The sequence below is a fragment of the Homo sapiens genome, chromosome 12 (assembly GCF_000001405.40).
Source record: "Homo sapiens chromosome 12, GRCh38.p14 Primary Assembly".
Taxonomy (NCBI): domain Eukaryota; kingdom Metazoa; phylum Chordata; class Mammalia; order Primates; family Hominidae; genus Homo; species Homo sapiens.
The window spans coordinates 56,514,506-56,538,406 of NC_000012.12; the positions used below are offsets into that span (position 1 = coordinate 56,514,506).

The following is a 23,901-nucleotide window of genomic DNA, read 5'->3' on the forward strand; positions in this document are numbered from 1 at the left end:
GATGTCTTTAATGGCAGTTTAACTTTAGTCCACAGGTGGGAGTGGGCTTACTCTACTGTTAGGAGACACAGGTAAGTTCAAGCTCTCTGACTTCCAAGACACAAAAATAGGCAATAAAAAAAAAATCAGGCCAGGCATGGTGGCTCATACCTGTAATCCCAGCACTTTGGAAGGCTGAGGCAAGAGGATCTCCCTTAAGGCCATGAGTTTGAGACTAGCCTGGGCAACATATTGAGAACCCTGTCTCTATAACAAATTTAAAAATTAGCCAGGCCTGGTGGCATGTGCCTGTAGTCCTCGCTATTTGTTGGGGGGTGGTGCTGAGGCAGGAGGATCCCTAGAGGACCGTGTCTCAAAAAACAAAAAGAAAAAAAGAAAACAATATATTGTAAACATAAAAGGAAAAGCTCCTAGATGTTCTAATGTGCCATTCCATCACTGCCAGCACTACTTTGACCTTTTTTTTTTTTTCTTTGAGACAGAGTCTTGCTCTGTTGCCCAGGCTGGAGTGCAGTGGTGAGATCTTGGCTCACTGCAAGCTCTGCCTTCTGGGTTCCCACTATTCTCCTGCCTCAGCCTCCCGAGTAGCTGGGACTACAGGTGCCCACCACCACGCCCGGCTCATTTTTTTTGTATTTTTAGTAGAGACGGGGTTTCACCGTGTTAGCCAGGATGGTCTCGATATCCTGACCTCATGATCCACCCACCTCAGCCTCCCAAAGTGCTGGGATTACAGGTGTGAGCCACTGCGCCCAGTCTTACCATTTTTAATTAGTAACATTTTTTTCAAATGTAAATTTTGTGTTCTGAGACAGTCCATTTATTCATTTAACAAATATTTTAACATTTTAAATTAGCCAGGTCCTCCTGAATGCTAAGGATATAATGGTGTACAAAACAGTCATGGTCTCTGTCCTCATCAAGCTTATGCTTCTGGTAAAGGCTGCTCATGACTAGTGACCTTATAACTAATGTATATTTATATTTTAACAATTACTTTTTCAGCACCATATGAACAGGAAAAATAGAAAAACAATTATTTCTTACATTCAAATCTCTCTCTCTCTCTCTCTTTTTTTTGAGACAGAGTCTCCCTCTGTTGCCCAGGCTAGAGTGCAGTAGCGCAATCTCGGCTCACTGCAACCTCTGCCTCTGGGTTCAAGTGATTCTCCTGCAGCAGACTCCCGAGTAGCTGGGACTACAGGGCCACACCACCACGCCTGGCTAATTTTTTGTATTTTTAGTAGAGATAGGGTTTCACCATGTTGGCCAGGCTGGTCTTGAACTTCTGACCTCAAGTGATCTGCCTGCCTCTGCCTCCCAAAGTGCTGGGATTACAGGTGTGAGCCACTGTGCCCAGCCCTTACATTTAAATCTTATGTTTCACCTGAGAGTTTTAGGATATGGTCCTAATTATCTGGAAATCAGATTTTAAGCAAATTATCTTCTAAATATATAGTGAATCAAAACTCAGGTAGAATCTTCATTAGGAGTGCTTCTCAGCAAATGTGGTTTTCAACAAACCTCTTGCTGTTTGTGTTGTAAGTTTATCCCTAGAAATATTACCCAGTGTGTAAGTTAAGAATAAGTCAGAATATTGAATATGACTACTACTTGAGGTAAGGGGCTGGCTTGAGGAAAATAGTTGAATCTTTCACTTCTGGATTCCTAGGATTATTCCTTTATTATTTCTGACCCCAAAGTACATATTTACTGGAATTTTTAATTTTACGGGCAAATAGAAAGGATAGAATTGAGTCAAGAAATCTGAATTCTGGCCAGGAGCAGTGGCTCACAGCTATAATCCCAACACTTTGGGAGGCCGAGGAGGGCAGATCACCTGAGGTTAGGAGTTTGAGACCAGCCTGGCCAACATGGTGAAACCCCGTCTCTACTAAAAACACAAAAATTAGCCAGGCATGGTGACATGTGCCTGTAATCCCAGCTGCTCCAGAGGCTGAGGCAGGGGAATTGCTTGAACCCGGGAGGCGGAGGTTGCAGTGAGCTGAGATCACACCATTGCACTCCAGCCTGGGCAACAGAGTGAGACTCCATCTCAAAAAAAGAAAAAAAAAAAAACAAAAGAAGAAGAAGAAATCTGGATTCTGGTGTCACTTATGCTACTATTTGACCCCTATGACCTTGTGTAAGTGAGCTTGCCTCTCTGGGATTTGTTTTTTTAATCTGAAAATGAGAGAGGACAAGGGGAAGGAACTATCCAATTAATTACTGTTTTGGCTCATTATCATCCCCGCAGTCTCATACTTCTTGCAATATTTAGATTTAACCATATGAAATTGCTAGTATTCAATGATATGAAAAGATTAAGATTTGACCTATGGAGACAGCAGTTTCATTTGATTCAGCCTAATTGTTGAATCAGTTGTGGGCCCTATTGGGATCATCTGAGTTGTTTATTTTAGGGATAGATGAGGCCAAGGCCAAGCAAAACTAATGCCTCAGGTGTGAAGGAAACACACATTTAGAGAATATATCTTTCTGGTAGGTGATAAAATAAAAATAAAAAGAGAATACAATGAATACCACCATAAAATCAATGTAGTATATTCTGGGTTACATAGAATTCATTCTAGTCTTTTCTTTCTACAATATGCTAATTTTCTAGCCCAGTGATTCTAAATGATTTGGTTCCTGTATTCCTTCAGCGTCCGGCAAAGGAAAAGTCCATTTGACAATTTTATTAGAATATTCTCTGAAGCAATGTTTGTCCAGGAATATCTGTTGCTATAGGAGAAGAGGCCTGTTAGCACTGATATCCAGGTGTGAAAGAAATAATTCTTCAGAGCTGTCTTTTTCCTTGTTTGCCAGTAAGGTAAGTCAAAGAGGTAAAAAGACAAACTTTTCCAATTTTTTGTTTTAGACCAATTTTGTCATTCCATCCTACATCAGAAGGGGTCACGGCTAAGCTTTGCTTTATTGTTTGATGTAGCTCATTAACATTTCTTGCCTAAGGAAACTGGTATGTTCAATAAACTGTTTTTGTTTGTTTGTTTGTTTTGTTTTGTTTTTTACTTTTCCCTAAGACATAATCTCATCTTTTTTACCAGGAAATAAACTCAGCTTTTTTTTTTTTTGAGACAGAGTCTCACTCTGTTGCCCAGGCTGGAGTGCAGTGGCATGATCTCAGCTCACTGCAACCTCTGCCTCCCAGGTTCAAGCGATTCTCCTGCCTCAGTCTCCCAAGTAGCTGGGATTACAGGCGTGTGCCACCACGCCTGGCTAATTTTTGTATTTTTAGTAGAGACAGGGTTTCACTATGTTGACTAGGCTGGTCTCGAACTCCTCACCTCAAGTGATCCGCCCACCTCGGCCTCCCAAAGTGCCAGGATTACAGGCATGAGCCACCGCACCTGGCCAATAAACTCAACTTTTTGGACTATTTCCATTACATAGCCTTTTGGACACAAAAGTTAATCAGTGGAATGAGAAGATAATCCACAGGGAGTATTTATACCTAGGGAAAAATGTTTCTTTGGCTCTAATATACCTTGTTCAGGTCTCTTAGCCACAATCAGAGCCTCACACGCAAACTGACCTGTCTCATTGCTTTCAACCACATATACCACACCAGCCTGTCTCCATTGGAATGTCTGGCTAGGGTCCAGCACATCTACAGGTAATACATTCTTCTGAATTCTCCACTCTGATATGGAGGGGCCAATAGAGGCATGCAAACATTTTTCTTTATTTTTCTTTTTCTTTTATTTTGAGACAGGATCTCACTTTGGTTGCCTGGGCTGGAGTACAGTGGCGCCATCTCAGCTCACTGCAGCCTCGACCTCCCAGGCTCAGATGGCTCTCCCAACTCAGCCTCCTGAGGAGTTGGGACTACAGATATGCACTACCATGCCTGGCTAGTTTTTTGTATTTTTAGCAGAAATGGGGTTTTGCCATGTTGCCCACATTGGTCTTGAACTCCTGGACTGAAGCAATCTGCCCACCTCAGCCTCCCAAAGTGCTGGGACATTTTTCAGCTACATTTTGGGGTTGACCTAGCCCCTACTCCTTCACCTTGGACACTTGTTTAAAAGAGTTGTTTTTCTGGAGAAATCACAAACAAGCCTATATTGAATCAGGTACAAATGTCTCTTCCCCAAAGAAGTTACAGATAACTCTCATTTTGCTTTTTTCCCTTCAAAACAATTCCTGAGTGCTGGGTTCATGAGAACCAAGAATTAGAGAGGCATTGACTAAATCTGGAAAAATGTGGGCAATGTAATGGGCAAAGCAGAAGGGCGTCAAAGTAAATACACTGGAGGAAGTAGGATTCTTCCTCCTCCCGTATACTTCCTGAATCTAACCACAGAACACCATTACCTTCCCCATCATTTCCACAGAATTCCATAACTCCTTTACAAATATACTCACCTGTAATGCCAGCAGTTTTGGAGACTGAGGTGGGCAAATTGCTTGAGCTGAGGAATTCAAGACCAGCCTGGGCAACATGATGAAACCCCGTCTCTACCAAAAAAAAAAAAATTACAAAAGTTAGCCAGGTGTGGTGGTGCATGCCTGTAGTCCCAGCTACAGGGTGGGGAGGGGTGGGATGGGTGTGAGGATCACCTGAACCTGGGGAAGTCAAAGCTGCCTGTTGTGAGCCGTGATTGTGCTACTGCACTCCAGCCTAGGTGACAGAGTGAGACCCTGTCATAAAAAAAAATATATGTTTATAATACATATACTCACCAGAATGAAGGATTTAGTTTCCAGTTTTGTTGGTGCTCTTTAACATAATACACCTTTGGCATCAGTTTGCATATCCGGGTCATTTTACTTCTGTGGTCCTAATTTACCAGATTATAAAAATTTAGATTTTTCGGTCGGGTGCCGTGGTTCACACCTGTAATCCCAGCACTTTGGGAGGCCAAGGCGGGTGGATTGCCTGAGGTCAGGAGTTCGAGACCAGACTGGCCAACATGGTGAAACCCCGTCTCCACTAAAAATACAAAAATTAGCTGGGCGTCGTGGCACATGCCTGTAGTACCAGCTACTCAGGAGGCTAAGGCGGGAGAATCGTTTGAACCCGGGAGGCAGAGGTTTCAGTGAGCCAAGATTGCACCACTGCACTCCAGCCTGGCGACAGAGTGAGACTCTGTCTCAGGGGGAAAAAAAAAAAGTAGAAAGAAAAATTAGACTTAAAAAAAAAGTTAAATTGGGTTGATTGCCTTTATGAATCAGGCCTTCAAGAGAAAGGTTTCTGTACCACATTGTTAGGGTAAAGGAGAAGATATCATCCAAGGGCCTAAACAGCAAGGATAAATTGGTTAATGAGAGTCTCTGAGAGCAGAAAAAGGACTTAAAAAAATATATATATATATATATATGGGCCGGGCGCGGTGGCTCACTCCTGTAATCCCAGCACTTTGGGAGGCCAAGGCGGGCAGATCACCTGAGGTCGGGAGTTTGAGACCAGTCTGGCCAACAAGACTACTAAAAATACAAAAAAATTAGCCGGGCATGGTGGCGCATGCCTATAGTCTCAGCTACTCGGGAGGCTGAGGCAGGAGAATCGCTTGAACCCGGGACGCAGAGGTTGCGGTGAGCCAAGATAGCACCACTGCACTCTAGCCTGGGCAACAGAGCAAGACTCTGTCTCAGAAAAAAAAAAAGATATCACTGAGTGATGCCTTCATTTATTTATTTACTGCATTTGGCTGCTGTGTTTCCAGTCTCAGTTGCAATTCCCACACTGAGGCTCTCCCACCCTTCCTGTGTCCCCTGAGCTGAGCAGGCACTTCCTGTCCTATTGGAAATGAAAGTTAGAGATTGGGGGTAGGGTATGTATATTTACTCTGCAGAATACTAATACTGTCTGTTCCATTATCATAGCAAAAAAGTGACACGGAAACTAGAATAGAGACCAGAACTTCATTTGAGGGAGGGTTTGGGCTTAATATTTGTTGTCACAAAACAGACAGGGTTAATTTATATCTCAAGAAACTACTTAGGATGGCAGCAAGGTGGCCTTATGAAGGGATTTGAAGGCTTTCATTTAACATCCCTATTGCACTTGGATTGGTAGGGGTTACTGGATATCATTCTTAAGTTTTTGGTTTCCTTTCTTGTTAAGGTTACGCCTACAAAGACATTCTTTGGAAACTAGTAGAGGTAAGTGTTGCAACTCTATTAGGTTCTTGACTCTGAAATTTGTATTCCTTCCTAAGAATTTTGTGTTTTTATTCTGTTGAAGCATATGCTTCTTAAGTATTTTTTTTTTTTAAACAGCTCAAAGACAACTCAAAGCAGACATCCCAACTGTAGACTTCAATTTAGACATAAACTCCAGGTTTGGTGAGTTACTGTAATTGTTTCAGTTTCATGGATCTTAAAGATGAGGAAATAGCAGGGTAAAGTGTTAAATAAGATAGCCTGCAATTGTTAGAGAAATAACAAGGCACCAAGTTTCATGATATAGTCCAGTCTGATAATTCCTTCTTAAGTATGAACTCATTCCTCGGAGAATCTGAAATAGGAGTGAGGGGCATCAGCCCATTGGTATGACCCAAGAGAAACACATCTAAGGATCTGAAACTAGTTATACCCCATACTCTGTTTTGCTTAGCTCTGCTCTTTGGTGTGTTCCTCTGTTTGTTCCTTTGTACATTAAGATCACTATAAATGGGCCAGGGGTGGTGGCTCATGCCTGTAATCCCAGCACTTTGGGAGGTTGAGTGGGTGGATCACTTGAGGTCAGGAGTTCGAGACCAGCCTGGCCAAGATGGCGAAACCCCGTCCCTACTAAAAAATACAAAAATCAGCTGGGTGTGGTGGTGGTCACCTGTAATCCCAGCTACTCGAGAGGCTGAGGCAGGAGAATTGCGGAAGGTGGAGGTTGCAGTGAGCCGGATCCGGGATTGCACCACTGCACTTCAGCCTGGGTGACAGACTAAAACTCTGTCTCAAAAAAAAAAAAAAAAAATCACTGTAAGTGTAAAGTAGGGGAAGCCCTGAGCTTATCTCACACACTCTAACTCTGTTTTTTTTTTTTTTTTTTTTTGCGTGTTCTCCAAGGCAATGTCTCAGGAGCCCCTTTAAAATCAAGCTTGAAATCTTATAGCTGAGATCTAAGGGTGGAAATAAAGCCCTCATTGTCTTTATATGAGAATCGGAACTTGTTCATAGAGGAAAGGGGATAAATTTGAAAGGGGTTAGACCTAAGAACTCTTCTTTCTAGCTTTAACTCCTGAGACTATGAAAAACAAACAAAAAAAAACATCTTGGGCATTAGGACCCAGTGGAAGTGCCTCTGCCTCATTCAGACTCTGTTAACTTCTCTCAGTGACGTAAAGGAGCAGCCCGAGCTCATTCTCTGCCCGCAGCCCCCCTTCATCTCTCTCCTCCTGCTCCTTTTCTCCTCCTTTCTCCTCCCCCTCCCTTTTTTCCTCCCTCCCTCTCCCCCTTTCCCTCGCTCCCCTCCTCCCTCCCTCCCCGTCTTTCTTACCCCCTCCCTTTCTCTCTCTCTCTCTCTCTCGCTCGTTCCCTAACATTAAAGAGAAAATGCTGCTATCCGTGACTTCCAGGCCCGGGATTTCGACTTTTGGCTACAATAGAAACAACAAGAAGGTAGGGAAAAGCGCTTTTTTGGTATCTAGCTACTTCTTTTTCTGGGGATCTTGCAATGCCCTTGGTTTTTACATTCTTTTTAAAGAGGGGAAGGGGCTTCCTCTCTCAAGATTCCTAATTCCTCACCGCGCTTCTCCCTTTTCCACTACTGCTTTCTGCATCTTTCCTCAACTGGTTCTGGAGTTCAGGGAACTTTCAGTCTCTGCGAGGCCTGAAAAGACAGGGGAATTAAAAACAAATCAAGCTTGCAAGTTTGTATCCTTATGAAATGAAGTTAGTTTGACTTCCTGCTGATGTATCAATCTCCACAAGGATAATATGTCATTTCAGACCCTGTCCCCCAGTCCACCCCACCCCACAAGATTATTTTATTTTTTGATTAACTGTTTCCATTCTCTCCCCAACCTTCCCTCCTACCCATACCACCAGTAGTATTAGATAGCTGAAATCATAGATAGTCAGAGAAACCACAACAGTTTATCAAGAGCTGGGTATACTCTTCTAGACTACAGATCCTACCCCACCCAGCCTATAGAGAAGGAGTCTTGAGAGACATCGCACCTTGGGATTAAGGCACAGAGCGCTGTGATACTTTGGATCTTGTATTTGAACTGATACTTGGACCTCTGCAGATAGCCAGACTTTGCAGTGATCCTAGGAGTCTTTATGATTAACCCATGGCTGCCAGAGAATTGTGCTGTCCTTGGGCACATGGGGAGAGATGGACAATCTTGTCCATATTTGACAAGGAATATATTTGGCAGTTTCTGGCATTTCAGGGCGCACAGCATACTGATTAGGAGGAATTTCATGCTGTAGCAGGAAGAAGACTCTTTACCCTCTCTTTGTGTTGTAGCTGTTCTTTGAAGAAAAAATGTGACATAGACATTTAGGGAATCTTTTGCTCATCTAATGGAATGTTGGAGGGTGAGGAACGATTCCTGCTGCTTTCTCATGTACCTAATGAGACCATTAGAGGTGGATTTAAACACAAGTGTCTGATCAATGCAGTGGGTAAATGTTTAGACCCAAAACACTTAATGTTGATTTATGGGCTTAGTCTGTGTGGTACTCATTTTGTTTATATCCTGAAGAAATATGGGTAGAGGGGAGAGGAAATGGGGAGCTATAGGTCAGAGGATACAAAGTAGTAGATATGTAGGATGAACAAATCCTGAGATCCAATGTACAACATGAGGACTATAGATGATAAAGTTGTACTGTATATGGGATTCATGCTAAATGAGCAGACTTTAGCTCCTCTTGCCACAAAAAGAAACAAAAGGGACAATTATGTGGGATGATTAATTTACTTCACTATAGTAACCTTTCTACTATCTATATGTATCCCGTAACATGTTGTATACCTTAAATATACACAATAAAATTTACTTTAAAAAAGAAATGAGGCTGGGCATGGTGGCTTATGCCTGTAATCCCAGCACTTGGGAGGCCAAGGTGGGTGGATCACTTGAGGTCAGGAGTTCGAGACCAGCCTGGTCAACATGGTGAAACCCCAAATTAGCTGGGCTTGGTGGCACGCGCCTGTAATCCCAGCTACTCAGGAGGCTGAAGCAGGAGAATCACTTGAACCTGGGGGACAGAGGTTGCAATGAGCCAGGATTGTGCCACTGCACTCCAGCCTGGGTGACAGAGCAAGACTCCATCTCAAAAAGAAATGAAATATGAGTTTATACACATTTGTTGGTTATCAATATATGTTTATATGTACATATACTGACATCCCTTTATCAAATATATGTATAGATAATACATTATATATTATACGTATATATTTGAAAGGGAAATATTTCACATGTCTTTATTCTTTTCAAACCTTGTAGAGTACCATGTGAAAATTTCTTTCCTGATTTTTTTCCCTCCTAGTTCTCTCAGGTTACCCAGAACTCATTAAAATAAAATGAATTCCCAAAATGAATTGCTTCCCTATTAGAGGTTTCACGTATTTGAAGCTATCTAAAAATCTCTTTTTGCTCTCTGCTCCCTCTCCCACCTTGGAGTATAGGAAAAAGTTAATTAGCTTCTAAATCTAGGATAGTATAGGGGACAAGAGGTATGGTTGTGGGTTTGGGTTGAAATCTCTTAGTAAGGTTTGACAATTCAGGAATTGTTGGAATTGGTTGGGGAGGATAGGTAGATACATAATTACTAATTACTAATGTATTTGTCAATTCTTTGGGTTCTTATAAGTCAATGTTATGATCAGATGTAAGGATGCTGTATCTGTGCATCACTCTGTGGCCATGCATATGACTCCTTTTGTGCCTATATAAGTTTGTGAACGTGGAGGGTTTTCATATTTTTATTTTTACTTTTTTTTTTTTTGAGATGGAGTCTCGCTCTGTCACCCAGGCTGGAGTGCAGTGGTGTGATCTCAGCTCACTGCAGCCTCCGCCTCCCAGGTTCAAGCAATTCTGCCTCAGCCTCACAAGTAGCTGGAACTACAGGAGTGCCACCACACCCGGACAATTTTTTTGTGTTCTTAGTAGAGACGGGGTTTCACCATGTTGGCCAGGCTGGTCTCAAACTCCTGACCTCAAGTGATCTGCCCTGCCTTGGACTCCCAAAGTGCTGAGATTATACTTTGAGTCACCAAGCCTGGCCCATATTTTTATTTATTTATTTGAGATGGAGTCTTGCTCTGTCGCGCCCAGGCTGGAATGCAGTGGCGTGATTTCGGCTCACTGCAACCTCCGCCTCCTGGGTTCAAGTGATTCTCCTGCCTCAGCTTTCTGACTAGTTGGGATTACAGGTGCCCGCCACCACGCCCAGCTAATTTTTTTGTATTTTTAGTAGAGACGGGGTTTCATCATGTTGGTCAGGCTGGTCTTGAACTCCTGACCTCAGGTAATCTGCCTGCCTCGGCCTCCCAAAGTGCTGGGATTACAGGCATGAGCCACTGCGCCTGGCCCCATATTTTTATTTTTATTTTACTTAATTTTTTTCCTCAACACTAGATGACCAGGGAGGGTGTTTTTAAACTATAGCATTATTACGTTGCTCTTTGTCTTGTCAAGTAGGGCTTACTGTGTTTCTGTTTTGGAAAGGGTTGTAGATGCATTTGCTTATGTAATTTGTGTATTTTCCATACTCAGTTAAATTTTATTTATTTGTTTATTTATTTATTTTGAGACAGAGTCTTACCCTGTCACCCAGGCTGGAGTCCAGTGGCGCGATCCTGGCTCCCTGCAACCTCAGTCTCCTGGGTTCAAGCGATTCTCCCGCCTCAACCTCCTGGGTAGCTGGGACTACAGGTGTGCGCCACCAGGCCCAGCTAAATTTTCTAATTTTAGTAGAGACGAGGTTTTGCCATGTTGCCCAGGCTGGTCTTGAACTCCTGGCCTCAAGCAATCTGCCTGCCTCGGGTTCCCAACGTGCTGGGATTACAGGCGTGAGCCACTGTCTGGCCCATTTATTTATTTATTTATTTTGAGACAGGGTATCACTCTGCAGTCTGGGCTGGAGGACAGTGCCATGATCTCGGCTCACTACAATCTCCAACCCCTGGGCTTAAGCGAGCCTCCCACCTCAGCCAACTTTTATATATAACTTTTTTGTTGTTTGTTTTCGAGACAGAGTCTCGCTCTGTCACCCAGGCTGGAGTGCAGTGGGGCGATCTCAGCTCACTGCAACCTCCGACTCCTGGGTTCAAGTGATTCTTCTGCCTCAGCCTCCTGAGTAGCTGGGATTACAGAGGCCCACCACCACGCCTGGCTAATTTTTTATATTTTTGGTAGAGATGGCGTTTCACCATGTCGGCCAGGCTGTTCTCGAACTCCTGACCTCAAGTGACCTGCCCACCTCGGCCTCCCAAAGTGCTAGGATTACAGGCGTGAGCCACCACGCCCTACCTATATATAACTTTTATATAAAAGTTACTGTTTCTTACTGAAACTAATGAAAGTTATTGTAAAAATTTAACTTTGGTGCTCACGCCTGTAATCCCAGCTCTTTGGGAGGTGGAAGTGGGCAGATGGCTCAAGGTCAGGAGTTTGAGACCAGCCTGGCCAACATGGTGAAACCCCGTCAATACTGAAAATACAAAAATTAGCCGGGTATGGTGGTGCACGCCTGTAGTCCCAGCTACTCAGAAGGCTGAGGCAGGAGAATCACTTGAACCCAGGAGGTGGATGTTGCAGTGAGCCGAGATTGTGCCACTGCACTGCAGCCTGGGCAACAGAGTGAGACTCCATCTCAAAAATAAATAAATAAATAAAATAAAATAAAATAAAACATAAAAGGTAGGATTATTTTATTTTGAAATACATACTTCACTTATCAGGAAAGATGTTTCCTGAGGAGCCCATGACAGTCATAGTTTTCTTACTCTTTATTGGCTGGTGGTAAATATGGGAATGCCGTCAACAAATGTATAATGCCTAATAAAGGCGGACTTTTTTCTCAGGAAGTAGTGTTAAATTTTTTTTTCCTTTCTTTGGAATTAAAATAGTTACTGAAGGGGAAAAATGTGGATTTCAAAGAGGGATTCTGCAAGATAATTTTGTGTTTTTTTTTTTTTAAACATCAGTTTTAATGCCCTTCAGTAACTTGGTTCATTAAAAAAAAAAAAAAAAGGCTGAAGTAAAAAGAGACAGGGTCTCAACACTGTTTCTTCAATGTTTGAAGAAGTTGCCAAAGTAGAGAGATTTGAGTATAGGTGAGATCGAAAGAGGAAATGTTTGGGACTAAAGGAATTTCAAACTTGTAAAGGGCCTAACCACGCCTTTCTTGACATCATCTCTCTGGCATGTGTTATTATAATTTAACTCCTCATAGGATCAACAACCATTTCCTTTGGAAAAAAAGAAAAGGGACTGTGTTTAACTTAGGATAATTTGCCTTCTCCAACGTACTTTTCATACATTTCTATTTCTTCTCAATGTTAATATATTGAAGACTGATGGGGAGTAGGAGGTGATGAAAGTAAGGCTGACTGGTGGGTACTGCCAGATCCTCATTCTTTGAGAAGCTTGTTACCTGAGATTGTCATGAGTGTTTACTCAGGAGAGAGAAGTGACAAACAGTGCTGGATTCACTTAGTACTTCTAACAGGATAGAGAATTTTCTCTGTGTATGTTTACTACTTTTCCTTCTAGTTTCCATCAAATCAAATGTAATAGGACTGAGAATTAAGAACTTGTCGGTCTAACATCTCTTGACTGGGGCAGCTGTTCTGTTATCAGTAATAAGTTAACTCAAATGGTTAAAGTTTAGTGGTAGGCCGGGCGCAGTGGCTCACGCCTGTAATCCCAGCACTTTGGGAGGCCAAGGTGAGTGGATCACCTGAGGTCAGGAGTTTGAGACCAGACTGGCCAACAGGATGAAACCCTGTCTCTACTAAATATACAAAAATTAGCCAGGCATGGTGGCAGGCACCAGTAATCTCAGTTACTTGGGAGGCTGAGGCAGGAGAATTGCTGGAACCTGGGAGGCAGAGGTTGCAGTGAGCCGAGATCGCGCCATTGCACTTCAGCCCGGGGCCGACAACAGCGAGACTCCATCTCAAAAAAACAAAAACAAACAAAAACAAAAACAAAAAAAAAACTTTAATGGCTATATATTACCTGCTGAACAAAGTGCAAATCTCTAGCCCAACACCTACTATCTGTCTGGCCTTTCCTTATCTTCCCCATCCCCCGCCACCCCCCCACCATGCCCCCTTGATACTGTTACATTTGCTCTACTGGCCAGTTACGTTAATGCAGTTTTCTGGATATGCCCTTTGGTTGCTGGTTTACATTTCTTATTCCATAGGAGAATATGCAATATGCAATATAACAAAAAATACAGAACAGAAACAGGACAAAGGAAAATATCAACTGGACTAAGAAGTCAGTTGGAATTAAAAGGCAAGTATGGCCAGGCACAGTGGCTCATGCCTGTAATTCCAGCACTTTGGGAGGCCAAAGTGGGAGGATCACTTGACCTAGGAGTTCCAGACCAGCCCGGACAACATGGCAAAACCCTGTCTCTACAAAAGATACAAAAATTAGCCACATATGGTGGTGTGTGCCTGTCGTTCCAGCTGCTCAGGAGCCTGAGGTGGGAGGATCACCTGAGCTGGTAGAGGTCGAGGCTACAGTGAGCCATGATCATGCCACTGCATTGCAGCCTGGGCAACTGAGCGAGACCATGTATCAAAAAAAAAAAAAAAGTCAAGTGTGCAAATCATAAAATTATAATGCTGGAAGATGAGGATTGAAGAATAGTCTTTGAATTTGTTAGTGTAAAGGTGGTTGATGACTTTGACAAGCAATTTCAGAGGTATGGGGAGCAAAATCAAGGTTGGAATAGGTTGATGAGTGAAAACAAGTAAGGAAGTATAGATGGTATATATACACTAATCTCTTAAGAACATTGATTAAGATGTAGAGCAGAACCCAAATAGAAAGTAGGCAAAACATCTGAATCGATGTTTATCCACAGGCTCTATGGCAAGATGCTTAACATCATTAGCCATCAAGGAAATATAAAATAAAGCCACAATGAGATACCACTTCACACCCAGTAGGCTGTTTATAATGAAAAAGACAGATAATAAAAAAGACAGTCAATAATCAAAAAGATAATCGAAAGGACAAATATCTCCTCGGCACCGTGTTGCCCAGGAGTTAGAGACCAGCCCGGGGCAACATGGTGAAACCCCATCTCTACAAAAATACAAAAATTAGCTGGGTGTGGTGGCATACACCTGTAGTCCTAGCTATTCATACTTGGAAGGCTGAGGTGGGAGGATTGCTTGAGCCCAGGAGGTCAAGGCTGCGGTTGATTGCCCCACTGTCTTCATTCTGGGTGACAGAGCAAGACTCTGTATCAAAAAAGAAAGAAAGAAAGAGAGACATAATATATGTGGAGTAACTGGAACCTTTATACACTTCTGGTGGGAATGTAAAATGGTACAGCTGCTTTGGAAAACATCTTGGCAGGTTCTCAAAAGGTTAAGGAAAGACCCAGGAATTCCACTCCTAGATATATGCCCAAGAGAAATGGAAACATATGTTACACAAAGACCTGTACATAAATGTTCATAGGAGCATTATTCATAATAGTCCAGAGTGGAAACAACCCAAATGTCCATCAACTGATGAATGGATAAATAAAATACATGGTATGCCCATACAATGAAATATTATTCAACAATAATAAGGAATGGGGTACTAGGCTGAGTGTGGTTTCTCATGCCTGTAATCCCAGCACTTTGGGAGCCCGAGGCAGGTGGATTGCTGGAGCCCAGGAGCTCTAGACCAGCCTGGGCAACATGGCAAAAGCAAAACCCCATCTCTACAAAAAGTACAAAAATTAGCCAGGCGTGCTGGTGTGCAACACACCTGTAGCCCCAGCTACTCGGAAGGCTGAGGTGGTAGGATTGCTTGAGGCTGGGAGGTGGAGACTGCAGTGGATCACACCACTGTACTCCAGCTTGTGCAACAGAGCAAGACTCTGTCCCAACAACAACAACAACAACAATAACAACAACAACAACAAAACAAATCTCTAGGGGAAAAAAAAAAGAAAAAAGGATGGAATACTGATACATGCTAAATGTGGATGAACCTTAAAAACATGACGCTCATGAAAGAAGCCAGTCATAAGAGACTACATGTTGTATGATTCCATTTATGGGAAATGCCCAGAATACGGAAATCTATAGAGACAGAAAGTCGATTAGTGGTTGCCTAGGGCTTAGTGGAGAAATAGGGAGTGACTGGTAATGGGTATTGTGTTTCTTTTTGGGATAATGAAATGTTCTAAAATTGTGGTTATGGTTGCACAACTCTGTGATCTAAGTACCATTGAATTTATGCTTTCTTTATTTAGAGACAGGGTCTCACTCTGTTGCCCAGGCTGGAGTGCATTGGCACAATCATAGCTTACTAAAGCCTCAAACTCCTGAGCTCAAGGGATCCTCCTGCCACAGCCTCCCAAGTAGCTGGGATTACAGCGCCACATGCCCAGCTAATTAAAAAAAATTTTTTTTATAGAGACAGGCTTTTGCTATGTTGCTCAGGCTTGTCTCAAACCCCTGGGCTCAAGCGATCCTCCTGCCTTGGCCTCCCAGAGTGCTGGGATTACAGGCGTGAGCCACTGTGCCTAGTCCTGAATTTATACTTAAATGGGTGACGTGTATGGTATGTGAATTATGTCTCAGTAGAGTTGTTATTTTAAAAAAAGGGACCAGAGAAATGAGATAAAAGCTAGAAGAGGATAGCGGTGCTGTCAAGAGAGAATTTTCTTTTTCCTTTTTTTTTTTTTTTTTTTTTTTTTTTTGAGGCAGGGTTTTGCTCTGTTGCCCAGGCTGGAACACAGTGGTGCAATCATGGTTCACTGTAGCCTCAACCTCCTGGGCTCAAGCGATTCTCCTACCTTGGCCTCCCGAGTAGCTGGGACTACTGGCTCACGCCATCACACTTGGCTAATTTTTAAATTTTTGTACAGATGGGGTCCCACTATATTGCCCTGGCTGGTCTCAAACTCCTGGGCTCAAGTGATTCTCCCACCTCAGCCTCCTAAAGTGCTGGGATTTCAGGCATGAGATACTGCACCTGGCTGAGATAATTTTCTTAAAGATGGGAGATGTAGGAGACAAATGTAAAGAGAATCATGACCAGTTACTTGGTACTTATTCTCAAAATATGCATATTCACGTCCCTCCAACTCTGATCTTTTTGTCGTTCTTGTGCCTTATGCATTCAGCCTCTGATCCTTTTTGTTGTTGTTGCTTAATTCCGGAATGGCCTTTCGTTTCATTTGTTTACTTCACTCATATTACTTAGGTTTATTGAGCAGCTGCAGCATGCTAGGCCCTGGGGTTAAGGCATGACTGTGGCCCTTTAAGAACTCACAGTCAAAACTGTCTTTAAAAATCCTACCCATCCCTTTAAGTTCAGTTGAAAATTACCTCTTATATAAAGCTTCTGCTAATCCCTCCATTTCCCAGCCCCAGAGGGGACTGTTTTTTCCAAAGGGGACTTTTTTCTGAACCCCCATAATGTTTTATGCTTCTTATATGGTGTTTATATAATTTTGCATTGTATTGGAATCATTTAGGTAATTGTCTTATCTTCATTGCTAGAGTGTAAGCTCTTTAAGGTAGAGACAGTGTTATTCAGTTTATTATCTCCCCAAATACCTAATATAGCATCTTAGGCCTATCTAGTAGATACTCAAAAAATATATATCCTAATAAATGTGATTAAGCTATCACATTTAGTGCCTATGGTAGGCACTAAATCAAGGTTAAGCAAAGGAAGGAAGCATTATGTTCTATACAAACCCTGAAATACGGAGTTAGATAGATCTGAATTTATTTTTAAGTAATTATTTATTGATTGATCTGAATTTAAATGTGGCTTTGTCACATATTAGCTGTGTGACCAGCGCCAGGTGTCTTAGGCTTTCTGACCTTGAATTTTTCATCTTAAAGTACTGATATATTGGCCCAGCGCGGTGGCTCATGCCTGTAATCCCAGCACTTTGGGAGGCTGAGGCGGGCGGATCAGAGGTCAGGAGTTCGAGACCAGCCTGGCCAACATAGTGAAACCCAGTCCCTACTAAAAATACAAAAAAATTAGCTGGGCGTGGTGGTGGGCACCTGTAATCCCAGCTACTTGGAAGGCTGAGGCGAGGAACCTGGGAGACAGAGGCTGCAGTGAGCCGAGATCTGCCACTGGACTCCAGCCCAGGCGACAGTGCGAGATTCCATTTCAAAAAAAAAAAAAAAAAGTACTGATATATTTTGTCGAATTATTTTGAGGATTGGTAATGTTTATAATCACATATCAGCCTGTATATTGGCTGTTTTTCTCTTATTTAAAAAAAACATTGTGGGCCGGGCACTGTGGCTCAACGCTTGTAATTCCAGCACTTTGGGAGGCCGAGGTGGGCAGATCACCTGAGGTCAGGAGTTCGAGACCAGTCTGGCCAACGTGGTAACCCTGTCTCTATTAAAAAATATAAAATTAGCTGGGCATGGTGATGCATGCTTGTAATCCCAGCTAATTGGGAGGCTGAGCCAGGAGAATCGCTTGAACCCAGGAGGTAGAGGTTGCAGTGAGCCAAGATCGTGCCGTTGTACTCCAGCCTGGGCTACAAGAATGAAATTCTGTCTAAAAATTGTGAACCTATGGAGTATAAAAAAGAAAAAAAAATTGGCCAGGTGCGGTGGCTCACACCTGTAATCCCAGCACTTTGGGAGGCCGAGGCAGGCAGATCACCGGAGGTCAGGAGTTTGAAACCAGCCTGACCAACATGGTGAAACTCCGTCTCTACTAAAAATACAAAATTAGCCAGGCATGGTGGCGCATGCCTGTAATCCCAGATACTAGAGAGGCTGAGGCAGGAGAATTGCTTGAACCTGGGAGATGGAGGTTGCAGTGAGCAAAGATTGTGCCATTGCACTCCAGCCTGGGCAACAAGAGCGAAACTCTGTCTCAAAAAAAAAAGAAAAATAATTAAATTAAAAAAAAACTTTTTCTTCTTCTTCTAGCCATTGTTTCATTTCTCTTCTTCCCTTTACAGTAAAACATCTTGAAAGAGCTATCTATTCAAGAATCATATATACTTGCTGTCTCCAATTTATTTCCTTCCATTCTTTTTTCTTTTATTATCTTGAATATATTGTCAGATAATACAAAAGTTTACATGTAGTTATAAAGTGTAATAATAGAGGAACACCTGTAAGAGGTACTCTCAAGTACTAGACTAGATTCATTGCCTGTAAATTACGTACACATGAATTTCTCCATCTCATCCTCTGCACCTCTTCTAGAGCTAACCACTGTCCTAAATTCTGTATTTATTACTCTCTTGCTTTTTATTTTATTTTATTTTATTTTATTTTTTGAGACTGGGTCTCACTTTGTCACTCGGGCTGGAGTGCAGTGGCTCGATCGTGGCTCACTGCAGCCTCGACCTCCCTGGCTCAAGCAATCCTCCCACCTCAGCCTCCTGAGTAGCTAGGATTACAGATGTGCGTCACCATGCCCAGCTAATTTTTAAATTTTTTGTGGAGACAGGGTCTCACTCTGTCATCCAGAGTGGAGTGCAGTGGCATGATCGTAGCTCAGTGCAGCCTGGAACTCCTGGGCTCCTGTGATCCTCCTGCCTCAGCTTCCCAAGTAGGTAGGACTATAGGCACTCACCACCACACCTGGCTAATTTTAAAATTTTTTTGTAGACACAGGGACTCGCTATGTTGCCCAAGATGGTCTCGAACTCCTGACCTCAAGCGATCCTCCTGCCTTGGCCTCCCAAAGTGCTGGGATTATAGGTGTGAGCCGCGGCACCCAGCCCTATTACTTTTTTTTTTTTTTTTTTTTTTTTTGAGACGGGATCTTCCTCTGTCACCCAGGCTGGAGTGTAGTGGCGTGATCTCAACTCACTGCATCTTCCACCTCCCGGGTTCAGGCAATTCTCATGTCTCAGCCTTCTGAGTAGGTGGGACTATAGGCGCATGCCACTACACCTGGCTTATTTTTGTGTTTTTAGTAGAGACAGGGTTTCACCATGTTGACCAGGTTGGTCTCGAACTCCTGACTTCAAGTGATTCGCCCACCTTGGCCTCCCAAAGTGCTGGGATTACAAGCATGAGCCACTGCGCCCAGCAGCCCTGTTACTTTTTAAAAACATAGTTTTAGTTTTCTGTGGAAGAAAGTGAAGCCAGTTTACTTCTATACTGCCATTTTGGACTGAAAGTCTTTCCCAAAAAACATAGTTTTAAAATCATGTTTAATTAACTTGTTTGCACTGTTCTAAGTACTTTGTATAACTGTATATAATTATATCTATATAATATATAGTTATATAACTATATTTTATCTTATTTAATCCTTACAACTTCATTATTATTATTCCCATCTTATAGATGAGGAAAAGTGAGTTACAGAGAGTTTGAAAATCATACTGCTAGTGAATGGCCCAACTGGGATTTGAACCCGGGTAATCTAGTTCCAAATCTGTGCTTGCAACCACTGCTGTAGTGTCTTATTGCAGCACATAGTCTTCTGTTTTTGTTTTTGTTTTTTTACCTTCAGTTTTGTGTTTTCACGATTCATTCATGTTGCATATAGATGTGGTTTATCCATTTTTTCATGCTTTACAATATTTCATTTGTGAATATACTGTAATTTATCCATTCTCCTACCAAGGGATTTTTGGATTGTTTCTAGATTGTGTTTGTTCATTTTTGCTGTTTTTGAAATTGCTGTTCTGAACATTCTTCTGTATATAGTATCCTTGTGCTAGAGTTTCTCTTGGGTTTCTACCTAAGAGTGGGATTGCTGAGCCATCAGGTATGCGAATATTCCACTTTGGGAGATAATGCTAAATTTATTTCCAAAGTATTGTACCAAATCTGTTTCCATCAACAATGTATAAAATTTGTCATAGATTTACATCCTTTCCATTTTTTGATAATGTCAGACTTCTCTCATTCCCTCTTAAAGCAAACTAATTAGGCTTTTATTCCTACCACTCCACCAAAACTGCTTTTTTGAAAGTCTGCAGTGACTCATGTTATTAAGTAAATGTTTATTTATTTATTTATTTTTTATGATGGAGGCTCGCTCTGTCGCCCAGGCTGGAGTGCAGTGGCACGTTCTCGGCTCACTGCAACCTCCGCCTCCCAGCTTCACGTCATTCTCCTGCCTCAGCCTCCCGAATAGCAGGGACTACAGGCGCCCGCCACCATGCCCGGCTAATTTTTTGTATTTTTAGTAGACACAGATTTTCACTGTGTTAGCCAGGATGGTCTCGATCTCCTGACCTCGTGATCCGCCCGCCTCAGCCTCCTAAAGTGCTGGGATTACAGGCGTGAGACACGGCGCCCAGCCCCAGTAAATGTTTATTTCTTAACTTTCATCTTAACCTATCGACAACACTTGATACAATTGATCACTCTATTCCTTGAGAAACTTTCTTCATTTGACTTATGGAATGCCACACTCTCCTGGTTTTCTTCTTATTTCTATGGCCTCTCTTTTTCTGGTTCCTTTCCTGGTTTCTCCTCATTTTCCTGACCTCTAAACCTTGGAGTACCCCAGGACTCAGTCCTTGAGCCTCTTTTCTGTCTATACTTCTCTCTTCATAGTTTTATCCAGGTCTTGGACGGGTGCAGTAGCTCATGCCTGTAACCTCAGCACTTTGGGAGGCTGAGGTGAGCAGATTGCTTGAGCTCAGGAGTTTGAGACCAGCTGGGGCAACATGGTGAAACCCTGTCTCTACCAAAAATGCAAAAATTAGCCAGGCGTGGTGGTGCATGCCTGTGGTCCCAGCTACTCGGGAGGCTGAGGTGGAAGGATCACTTGAACCCAGGAGGCAGAGGTTGCAGTGAGCTGAGATTGTGCCACTGCACTCCAGCCTGGGTGACAGAGGGAGACTCCATCTCAAAAAAAAAAAAAAAAAAAATTTATATCCAGTCTCATAGCTTTGAATAGCACCCGTATGACGGAACTCTCAACTTGGACTGGAACTCTCAACTTGGACTGCCCTCCTGTATTTTAGATTTATATATTTAACATTACACCTGACACCTCCATTTAGACATTTATTAGACATTTCAAACTTAACATATTTAAACAGAGCTCCTGCCTGCTCTTCTCCTCCCTGCCCTGCCAAAACTGTTCTCTGTCTCAGTAAATGGCAACTTCATTCTTCCATATGCTCAGACCAAAAACCTTAATATTATCCTTGACCTTCTTTTCCCCCCATAACTCCATATCTAATGGCATACTACTAGTATCTACTTTATTGAGCTGTTAGTAATGAATGCCTGGCACATAGTAAATGATCATTAAGGTTAACGATTGTCCTGGTGTGGTGGCTAACACCTGTAATCCTAGCACTTTGGGAGGCCAAGGCAGGTGGGTGGATCACCTGAGGTCAGAAGTTTGAGGCTAGCCTAGCCAACATGGCGAAACCCTGTCTCTATTAAAAATACAAAAATTAGCTGGGCGTGGTGGCGCACACCGTAATCCCAGCTACTCGGGAGGCTGAAACAGGAGAATCACTTGAACCTGGGAGGTGGATTTTGCAGTGAGCTGAGATCACGCCATTGCACTCCAGCCTGGGTGACAAGAGTGAAACTCTGTCTCAAAAAAAAAAAAAAAAAAAAAAAAAAAATCCCAGCACTCTGGAAGGGCGAGGCAGGCAGAGTACCTGAGGTCAGGAGTTCTGCCCGGCTAATTTTTGTATTTTTGTAGTGATAGGGTTTCACCATGTTACCCAGGCTGTTCTTGAACTCCTGGACTCAAGTAATCCTCCCACCTCAGCCTCCCAAAGTGCTGGGATCACAAGCATGAGCCACCATGCCTGGCCTGAGCTTCTTGAAAGAGTAGTCCATATAGAGTCTCTGTTTCCTTACCTCCTACTCTTTTTCTTAGTAAGATCTTTTCCTTCCTTCCTTCCTTCCTTCCTTCTTTCTTTTCTCTCTTTCTCTCCTTCTCTCCTTCTTTCTTTTTTTTTTTTGTTTGTTTGTTTGAGATGGAGTCTCACTCTGTCTCCCAGGCTGGAGTGCAGTGGCGTGATCTTGGCTCACTGCAACCTCCACCTGGTGGGTTCAAGCAATTATCCTGCCTCAGCCTTCCTAGTAGCTGGGACTACAGGCGTTTGCCACCATGCCTGGCTAATTTTTTGTATTTTCAGTGGAGACGGGGTTTCACCATGCTGGCCAGGCTGGTCTTGAACTCCTGACCTCATGATCTGCCCCCCTTGGCCTCCCAAAGTGCTGAGTTTACAGGCATGAGCCACTGCACCTGGCCTATTTTTATTTTTAATTGTGACAAATATACATAACATAAAATTTACCATCTTGAACTTTTTTTTTTTTTTTTGAGACGGAGTCTTGCTCTGTTGTGCAGGCTGGAGTGCAGTGGCATGATCTTGGCTCACTGCAACCTCCGCCTCCCAGGTTCAAGTGATTCTCCTGCCACAGCCTCCCAAGTAGCTGGGATTACGGGCACCTGCCATCACACCTGGCTAATTTTTGTATTTTTAGTAGAGACGAGTTTTCACCAGGTTGGTCAGGCTGGCCTTGAACTCCTGACCTCAAGCAGTCCACTCACCTCAGCCTCCCAAAGTGCTGGGATTACAGGCGTGAGGCGCCCACCTTGCCTGGCTCATCTTGAACATTTTAGTATACAGTTTAGTAGCATTAAGTGCATTTACATTGTTGTGCAACCCATCTCCAGAATTCTTTTCATCTTACAAAACTGAAACTCTATACCCATTAAACAACTCCACATTCTCCTCTCCCTCCAGCCTCTGGCAACCACTGTTCTACTTTCTGTCTCGATGAATTTGACTATCCTATGTACCTTATGTAAGTGGAATCATACAATATTTTTGTGACTGTCTTATTTCACTTGGTGTAATGTCCTCGTGGTTCACCTATGTTGTAGCTTGTGTCAGTGTTTCCTTGCCTTTCACCCTGAATAATGTTTCATTGTATGTACAACATATAGCACATATTTGTTTATTCATTTTCCCATTGATGGATACTTGGGTTGCTTCTGCCTTTTGGCTGTTGTGAATAATGTTGCTATGAACTTGAGTGTACAAATACATTCAAGTGTCCCTTTGAGACACTGCTTTCAATTCTTTTGGGTATATACCCAGAAGTGGAATTGCTACATCATATGGCAAGTCTATTTTTAACTTTTTCAGGAACCACTGTCCTGTTTTCAACACTGCACAAGGGTTCCAATTTCTCTGCATCCTTACCAACACTTGTTGTTTTCTGCCTTTTTTTTTTTTTTTTTATAAGTAGCCATCCTGATGGGTGTGAGGTGGTATCCCATGGTTTTGATTTCTGTTTCTCTAATGATTAGTGATGTTGAACGTCTTTTCACATTTGTGAAATGTCATTTGTAAATCTTCTTTGGAGATAAGTCTATTCAAGTCCTTTGCTTATTTTATTTTATTTATTTATTTATTTATTTATTTGAGACAGAGTTTTGCTCTTTTTGCCCAGGCTGGAGTGCAATGGCATGATCTCGGCTCATTGCAACCTCCACCTCTTGGGTTCAAGTGACTCTCCTGCCTCAGCCTCCCGGGTAGCTGGGATTACAGACGTGCACCACCATGCCCAGCTAATTTTTGTATTTTTAGTAGAGATGGGGTTTTGCCATGTTGGCCAGGCTGGTGTCGAACTCCTGGCCTCATGTGATCCACCCACCTCAGTCTCCCAAAGTGCCTGGAATTACAGGCATGAGCCACCACACCCGGCCCATCTTTGGGATTTTGATAGGGATTACATTGAATCTGCAGATTACAGGCATGAGCCACTACACCTAGCCCATT

General features: G+C 42.8%; 1 protein-coding gene across 12 annotated transcripts in view, besides 1 other annotated feature; it reads left to right on the forward strand.

Moving 5' to 3' along the window:
* The first annotated feature begins 5,899 nt into the window (after window positions 1–5,899).
* RBMS2 (RNA binding motif single stranded interacting protein 2) overlaps window positions 5,900–23,901 on the forward strand; it is a 75,789-nt gene continuing 57,787 nt past the window's right edge. For 11 of the 12 annotated variants that reach the window (NM_002898.4, NM_001414461.1, NM_001414459.1 and 8 more), the window contains exon 1: window positions 7,315–7,584. In NM_002898.4, the coding sequence (NP_002889.1) occupies window positions 7,519–7,584 (66 nt within the window). In that variant the 5' untranslated portion in view covers window positions 7,315–7,518. Of the gene's footprint in view, window positions 6,130–6,246; window positions 6,313–7,314; window positions 7,585–23,901 lie in introns of those variants that run through there. The other variant, XM_024449115.2, reaches the window with a different exon arrangement.
* Window positions 7,750–8,493: an enhancer, noted in NCBI's record as "H3K27ac hESC enhancer chr12:56916039-56916782 (GRCh37/hg19 assembly coordinates)". NCBI's record gives its function as "activates a minimal SCP1, AML or CMV promoter by ChIP-STARR-seq in primed H9 embryonic stem cells {active_cell/tissue: H9 hESC(primed)}" and the evidence as "EXISTENCE:reporter gene assay evidence [ECO:0000049][PMID:30033119]".